The sequence below is a fragment of the Homo sapiens genome, chromosome 19 (genome assembly GCF_000001405.40).
Source record: "Homo sapiens chromosome 19, GRCh38.p14 Primary Assembly".
NCBI classification, from domain to species: Eukaryota; Metazoa; Chordata; class Mammalia; order Primates; family Hominidae; genus Homo; species Homo sapiens.
Window position 1 is genome coordinate 4806684 of NC_000019.10, and position 8368 is coordinate 4815051.

The window sequence follows — 8368 nt, forward strand, 5'->3', positions numbered from 1 at the left end:
AGGCAGATGTAAAACTGACCCTGGATTTAACAACACAAGATCACCAAGGACCTTGAGCAGAGCAGTTTCTTTTTATTCTTTTTATTTTATATTTTATTGTATTTTTTTGAGACAGAATCTCGCTCTGTCGCCCAGGCTGCAGTGTAATGGTGAGATCTCGGCTCACTCCAACCTCTGCCTCCCAGGTTCAAGCGATTCTTCTGCCTCAGCCTCCTTAGTAGCTGGGATTACAGGAGTGAGCCACAGTGCCCGGCCAATTTTATTTTATTATTTATTTATTTATTTATTTATTTTCAGACAGAGTCTTGTTCTGCCGCCCAGGCTGGAGTGCAGTGGTGAGATCTCGGCTCACTGCAACCTCTGCCTCCCGGGTTCAAGCGATTCTCCTGCCTCAGCCTCTCAAGTAGCTGGGATTACAGGCGTGTGCCACCACGCTCAGCTATTTGTTGTAATTTTTGTGGAGACGGGGTTTCACCATGTTGGCCAGGCTGGTTTCGAACTCCTGGGCTCAAGTCATCCACCAGCCTCAGCCTCCCAAAGTGCTGGGATTACAGACGTCAGCCACCGCGCCTGGCTGAGCAGAGCAATTTCTGGGACATGCGGCTGGGGTGGGTGGTGGATGGTAATAGTTTCACAGGAAGGACAGGACAGGAAGAGGATCCTGGGGGAACTTCTGGAAATTCTGTTCTGGTGCAAAGCCTGTAGGAAGTGAAGCTGCACCCTGGCCCCTGCCTTCCAGAAGGGCCCTTTATTTTCATGGCCAGAGGGGCCAAGCGGGTCCTGGCTGTGCAGCCTCAGAAACTTCCTCTTTCAGTTCCTGGAGGGAGCCCGCAGGGTCTGGGTCATGCAGTCTCTAGCTTGAGCAGCAGGGTGACCCCTGGCAAAGGCTCAGCATCATGCCAAGCCCAGGAGGGCAACAGATGCTTCTAGAAGAAACTAAGGGCCGGGTGCAGTGGCTCACGCCTGTAATCCCAGTACTTTGGGAGGCCAAGGCAGTAGGATCGCTTGAACCCAGGAGTTTGAGATCAGCCTGGGTAACATAGTGAGATTCTTGTCTTTACAAAAAAATACAAAAGTTAGCCGGGTGTGGTGGTGCCTGCCTGTAGTCCCCGCTACCTGGGAAGCTGAGGCGGGAGGATCGCTTGAGCCCAGGAGTTCAAGGCTACAGTGAACCATGATCTTGCCACTGCACTGCAGGCTGGGTAACAGAATGAGACCCTGTCTCAAAAAATAGGATGGGCATCAGAAAACATATTCATGTTTTGCTCAGTGAGAGAAGGCAGACACAAAAGGCCACACAGTGTGTGATCCAATTTCTTTCTTTTTTTTTTTTTCTGAGATGGAGTCTCGCTCTGTTGCCCAGGCTGGAGTGCAGTGGCGTGATCTCGGCTCACTGCAAGCTCTGCCTCCCAGGTTCACGCCATTCTCCTGCCTCAGCCTCCCGAGTAGCTGGGATTACAGGCGCCCGCCACCACGCCCGGCTAATTTTTTTATATTTTTAGTAGAGACGGGGTTTCACCGTGTTAGCCAGGATGGTCTCGATTTCCTGACCTTGTGATCCACCTGCCTTGGCCTCCGAAAGTGCTGGGATTACAGGTGTGAGACACCGCGCCCGGCCACGTGATCCAATTTCTGTGAAATGTTCAGGACAGGCTCATCCACAGAAACAGGAAGGGGATGCATGGGTGCCGGGGCTGGGGGGAGGCAGTGGGCAGTGTCAGCTGATGGTTCCAGTGCTGCTTTTTGGGGTGATGAAAGTTTCTGAAATTAGATAGTGGCAATAGTTGCATAATATAGTGAATACAGTAAAAACCACTGATGTCTCCACTTAAGAAATAACAGGACCAGGCGCAGTGGCTCACGCCTGTAATCCCAACACTTTGGGAGGCCGAGGTGGGCAGATCACCTGAGGTCAGGAGTTCGAGACCAACCTAGCCAACATGGTAAAACCCCCGTCTCCTACTAAAAATATAAAAAATAGCTGGGTGTGGTGGCGGGCCCCTGTAATCCCAGCTACTTGGAAGGCTGAGGCACAAGAATCGCTTGAACCAGGAGGTGGAGATCACGCCACTGCACTCCAGCCTGGGTGCCGGGGCGAGACGCCATCTCAAAAAATAAAAAATAAACAATAATAATAATAAATGCCGGGCACAGTGGCTCAGGCCTGTAATCCCAGCACTTTGGGAGGCCGAGGCAGGTGGATCACCTAAGGTCAAGAGTTCAGGACCAGCCTGACCAACATGGATAAACCCCGTCTCCACTAAAAATACAAAATTAGCTGGGCATGGTGACGCATGCTTGTAATCCCAGCTACTCAGGAGTTCAAGACCAGCTTGGACAACATATGTGAAACCCCATCTCTACTAAAAATACAAAAATTAGCTGGCCGTGGTGGCGCATGCCTGTAATCCCAGCTACTCGGAAAGCTGAGGCAGGTGAATTGCTTAAACCTGTGAGGCGAAGGCTGCAATGAGCTGAGATCAGGCCACTGCACTCCAGCCTGGGCGACAGAGTAAGAGTTGGTCTCAAAAAAATATGTATCAGAAAGAGATCATTCCAAGCAGGCACATATAGCTGCCCAGCCCGGTCTGGCTGTGTGTATACTGACTTCCAGAAAGAAATCCTCTGTTATTTATTCACATTTCACCGTTTTTAAATAGAGGGGACATTGGGCCGGGCTCGGTGGCTCACGCCTGTAATCCCAGCACTTTGGGAGGCCAAGGCGGGCAGATCACCTGAGGTCAGGAGTTCGAGACCAGCCTGGCCAATATGGAGAAACCTCGTCTCTACTAAAAACACAACATTAGCTGGGCATGGTGGTGCATGCCTGTAATCCCAGCTACTTGAGAGACTGAGGCAGGAGAATCGCTTGAAACCGGGAGGTGGAAGTTGCAGTGAGCCAAGATCGCGCCACTGCACTCCAGCCTGGGCAACAAGAGCAAAAACTCCATCTCAAAATAAATAAAGAAATAAATGGGACATTTTCTTATTTTTTTTTCTTCCTATTTTTCTTCAAGGCTGTTAGGCTCCCAGGGAATCTGGGCTTTCGTGGCCACGTGGGGCCGGCGGGCGGTGGCCACCAGAGGGCGCTGGGGCAGCGCAAATCGCAGCTGAGCCCCTAGAGCTGGGGACCTGGTCCTGCCTGGAGCTGCCTTCCAGACCTTCCAGACCTTCACCCATGCTGTACCACCTTCTAGAACTCTCTCCCCGCCCGTGGCTCATTCCAATGAAGGCCTGAGGTCTTAGCTTACTTCCTTCTTTCAGAAACTTCCTTTAATCTCCCCAGGCCAGTCTAGGGTCCCCTTTGGGGTCCCACAGCTTCCCCATCAGAGCCCCCATCACCCCATAACTGCCTAATACTGTCTGTCTCCAGCACTGGACAACATAGATTTCTTTTCTTTTCTTTTCTTTTCTTTTTAATGGAGTTTCGCTCTGTCATCCAGGCTGGAGTGCAGTGGTGCGATCTCAGCTCACTGCAAGCTCCGCCTCCCAGGTTCACGCCATTCTCCTGCCTCAGCCTCCTGAGTAGCTGGGACTACAGGCGCCCGCCACCACGCCTGGCTAATTTTTTTGTATTTTTGGTAGAGACGGGGTTTCACCATGTTGGTCAGGATGGTCTTGATCTCCTGACCTCGTGATCCGCCTGCCTGGGCCTCCCAAAGTGCTGGGATTACAGGTGTGAGCCACTGCGCCCGGCCTCTTTCTTTCTTTTTTTTGAGACAGAGTCTCACTCCGTAGCCCAGGCTGGAGTGCGGTGGCGTGATCTCGGCTCACTGCAACCTCCACCTCCCAGGTTCAAGCAATTCTCCTGCCTCAGGCTCCTGAGTAGCTGGGATTAAAGGCACGCATCACCACGCTCGGCTAATTTTTGTATTTTTAGTACAGACAGGGTTTCACCATGTTGGTCAGGCTGGTCTTTTAAATCCTGACCTCAAATGATCCTCCCATCTTGGCCTCCCAAAGTGCTGGGATTACAGGCGTGAGCCAAGGAGCCTGAGCTTTTTTTTTTTTTTGAGACAAGGTCCAGCTTTGTCACCCAGGCTGGAGTGCAGTGACACCATGATATCTCACTGCAGCCTTGACTTCCTGGGCTCAAGGGATCCTCCTGCTTCAGCCTCCCAGTAGCTGGGACAGCAGGTGGGTGCCACCAAGCCTGGCTTTTTATTTCATTATTTCATTTCATTTCATTGAGACAGGATTCTCACTGTGTTGACCAGGCTGATCTCAAAGTCCTGGCTTCATGTGATCCTCCCACTTCGGCCTCCCAAACTGCTGGGATTACAGACGTCAGCCACCGTGCCCGACCCTCAGGGCATTCAAAATGACCCTGCTTTACAGATCTACAGGAGGTATGTGGAGACAGCTGGGAATGGGAGTTCCAGACGTGAGGTCTATGGTACAAATGAGGAAGATGAGGCCCAGAAAAAGGCTGCCGGCCGGGCGCGGTGGCTCACGCCTGTAATCCCAGCACTTTGGGAGGCCGAAGCAGGTGGATCACCTGAGGTCAGGAGTTCAAGACCAGCCTGGCCAACATGAGGAAACCCTGTCTCTACTAAAAAAAAAAAAAAAAAAAAAAAAAAAAATTTAGCTGGATGTGGTGGTGGGTGCCTGTCATCCCAGCTACTCAGGAGGCTGAGGCAGGAGAATTGCTTGAACCCAGGAGGCGGAGGTTGCAGTGAGCCGAGATTCCACCATTGCACTCCAGCCTGGGCAAGAAGAGTGAAACTCTGTCACAAAATAGAAGAAGAAGAAAGAAGAAGAAAGAAGAAGAAGAGGAAGAGGAAGAGGAGGAGGAAGAGGAAGAAGAAGAGGAAGAGGAGGAGGAGGAAGAAGAAGAAGAAGAGGAAGAGGAAGGCTGTGTCTTGCCCCAAGTGCCACACTATCTCAGGGAGAAGCAGGGGCTTGAACCCGCTGTTCCTGCTGCCGAGGCCAGCCTGGCTGACCTGGGACAAGTGAAGGTTCCTGGGCCGAATTCTTTTTCAGTCACTTTAAGGAACAGGAAAGGGTCCTCTGAACTGGGCAGGCCCTGAATGTGCCCACATCTCCTCTGCTCTTGTCTCTACCTGGTCCAGCCCCAGCCAACATCACTCACCCAGACCAGTGCAGTCGCCTCCACCCTGGTGCCCCAGCATCAGCCCTGGCCCACCAAGGTCTGTCCTCCCTGCAGCGGCCACCAGAGGGCACCTGTGAGCACTGGAGTCAGGTCCTGTCCCTCCTCTGCCCACAGCCCTGCATGGCTCCCACCCGCCTGGGGGTCAAAGCCCAAGACCTCCCCATGACCCACCAGGCCCTGCTTAACCTGCCCCATCCCCTTTTCGCCCTCCCCTCCTCCCTCTCTGCCCGTCGCTCACTCTGCTCCAGCCTCCTCGCTGTTCCTCCAACACACCAGGTGCCATCTGCCCCCAGGGCCTTTGCATGGGCTGTGCCCTCTGCCTAGAAGGTCATTCCCACTTTCACCTCCAGCTCTTCCCATGACTGACTCCTTTTCTTCCCCCCAGGTCTCAACTCCAACACCCCCTCCTAGAGAGCCCCTTCGGCCACCCCTGCTGAAATTCTTTCTCCTGAGACACTCCCACCACCACTTCTTTTTTTTTTTTTGAGACGGAGTCTCGCTCTGTCGCCCAGGCTGGAGTGCAGTGGTGCGATCTCGGCTCACTGCAAGCTCCGCCTCCCGGGTTCACGCCATTCTCCTGCCTCAGCCTCCCGAGTAGCTGGGACTACAAGTGCCCGCCACCACGCCCGGCTAATTTTTTGTAGTTTTAGTAGAGACGGGGTTTCACCGTGTTAGCCAGGATGGTCTCGATCTCCTGACCTCATGATCCGCCCGCCTCGGTCTCCCGAAGTGCTGGGATTACAGGCGTGAGCCACCGCGCCCGGCCTGTTTTTTGTTTTTGAGACAGAGTTTTGCTCTTGTTGTCCAGGCTGGAGTGCAATAGCCCCATCTCAGCTCACAGCAACCTCTACCTCCTGGGTTCAAATGATTCTTCTGCCTCAGCCTCCCAAGTATCTGGAATTACAGGCGCGTGCCACCACGCCTGGCTAATTTTTTGTATTTTTAGTAGAGACGAGGTTTCACCCTGTTAGCCAGGATGATCTCGATCTCCTGACCTCATGATCCGCCCGCCTCAGCCTCCCAAAGTGCTGGGATTACAGGGGTGAGCCACCGCACCCAGCCCGAAGGCTCTTCACTTTCTGAAACTATTTTGCTTTCTTCTTTTATAATTTGTTTACTATTCCTTCCTCTCCTCCCCTACGGAAATGACAGCCAATGACTAATCACTTCTGTCTGCTGTCTGGGACAACTCCCAGCACACAGTAGGCGCTGGATGAACGTTGGTCAAATGAAGGAATAGCCAGTTCACTGCCCCTGCTCAGGTATTTGCAGCTGGTTCCGGCCTGGATGGTCCGAAACCCTTTGTTGGGAACAACCTCACTGCACCCTGGAATCTCATCTCAGAACTCCACTCCCCAGGTTTCACTTCTGGGCCGCTGCGGCTGCCACCGGGACCAGAGCTCTGACAAAGTCTGAGTCAACAACTAAAATAGCAAGTAGTGCATGGCTGCTGGGTGATTCACACCAGCCTGCTTCCATGTGGCCTGGCAATGGAGGAAGGAGCCTGCAAAGTCAAATCAGGTTGTCAGGAGGGAGGGGCTCCTCAGCTTCCCAGCTCAGTGAGTCCAGTTTCACCTTCGAGGACCCTCCTTTGTTTCCTCCCTTGGAAGTTCAGCTCCTTCCATTGTGATTCCCCGTTTCTGATCTGTGTGAGTTTTGGAGTCAGAATTAATCTCTTTAGGCCTCGGTTTTCCCCATCTGTAAGGTGGGTCCATAATAGAAGCTTCTACCTTGAGGGGTCATTTTGAGGATGAAAATGTGTTTGTTTATTTATGTATTTAATTTTTTGTTATATAGATGAGGCCTTCCTATGTTGCCCAGGCTGATCTCAAACGTCTGGCCTCGCCTCCTTACACGCCAGGACAACGGGCCTGCAACACCGTGCCTCCCTATTTATTTTTATTTTATTATTTTATTGTTATTTTTGGAGATGGAGTTTCACTCTCGTCACCCAGGCTGGAGTGCAGTGGTGCAATCTCGGCTCACTGCAACCTCCACCTCCCGAGTTCAAGCGATTCTCCTGCCTTAGCCTCCCAAGTAGCTGGGATTACAGGCACCCACCACCACACCCAGCTAATTTTGTATTTTTAGTAGAGACGGGGTTTTACCATGTTGGCCAGGCTGGTCTCGAACTCCTGTCCTCAGGTGATCCACCCACCTCGGCCTCCCAAAGTGCTGGGATTACAGGCATGAGCCACCATGCCCTGCCTATTTTTATTTATTTATGTATGTATTTACTGATACAGAGTCTTGCTCTGTTGCCCAGGCTGGAGTGCAGTGGCGCAATCTCAGTTCACTGCAATCTCCGCCTCCCAGGTTCAAGCGATTCTCCTGCCTCAGCCTCACAAGTAGCTGAGACTACAGGTGTGTGCCCCATGCCCAGCTGGTTTTTCTATTTTTAGTAGAGACAGGGTTTCATCATGTTGGCCAGGCTGGTCTCGAACTCCTGACCTCAAGTGATCCGCCTGCCTTGGCCTCCAAAAGTGCTGGGATAACAGATGTGAGCCACCATGCCTGGCCTATTTATTTATTTATTTTTTAAAAAGAGTTGGATGTCTTATTCAGTTGATAAATAAATAAATACATACATAAATAAGAAAGATGCGGCTGGGTGTGGTGGCTTACGCCTGTAATCCCAGCACTTTAGGAGCCCAAGGCAGGTGGATCACCTGAGGTCAGGAGTTTCAGACCAGCGTGGCCAACATGGCGAAACCCCATCTCTACTAAAAATACAAAAATTAGCCGGGTGTGGTGGCGAGCTCCTGTAATCCCAGCTACTCGGGAGGCTGAGGCAGGAGAATAGCTTGAACCCGAGAGGTGGAGGTTACAGTGAGCTGAGCTCTCTTCACTGCACTCCATCCTGGGTGAGAGAGCCAGACTCCATCTCAGGAAAAAAAAAAAATAGAGATGGGGTTTCATTATGTTGCCCAAGCTGGTCTTGAATTCCTGGCCTCAAGCAACCCTCCCACTTCAACCTCCCAAAGTTCTGGGATTAATTACAGATGTGAGCCACCACAGCACCCAGTCTTGTTTATGTATTTAGACACTCCAGAATCAATACATGTTAAGTGTCCAACAAACCTTGGCTCCATTCTTATTCTTAGAAGGTCTGTCACCCTGAAAAATATTAATCCCTTCCATGTGGGTCCCCATACTTAATGAGTGCTGCACCTGCTACCCAGGTATGGTGTACCTGATATGTGGTTCTGCATATGATCCGCTGAGGCCTTGAAACAACAGCCTCCACAGACCCAT

General features: G+C 51.8%; 3 annotated features.

Moving 5' to 3' along the window:
- Nucleotides 5836-7035: an enhancer, noted in NCBI's record as "P300/CBP strongly-dependent group 1 enhancer chr19:4812531-4813730 (GRCh37/hg19 assembly coordinates)". NCBI's record gives its function as "activates an origin of replication core promoter dependent on BRD2, BRD4, P300/CBP, MED14 and CDK7 cofactors, with strong dependence on P300/CBP, by STARR-seq in HCT116 cells {active_cell/tissue: HCT116}" and the evidence as "EXISTENCE:reporter gene assay evidence [ECO:0000049][PMID:35650434]".
- Nucleotides 6225-6304: an enhancer, noted in NCBI's record as "active region_13781". NCBI's record gives its function as "activates an Ori minimal core promoter by ATAC-STARR-seq in GM12878 lymphoblastoid cells {active_cell/tissue: GM12878}" and the evidence as "EXISTENCE:reporter gene assay evidence [ECO:0000049][PMID:35858748]".
- Nucleotides 6455-6544: an enhancer, noted in NCBI's record as "active region_13782". NCBI's record gives its function as "activates an Ori minimal core promoter by ATAC-STARR-seq in GM12878 lymphoblastoid cells {active_cell/tissue: GM12878}" and the evidence as "EXISTENCE:reporter gene assay evidence [ECO:0000049][PMID:35858748]".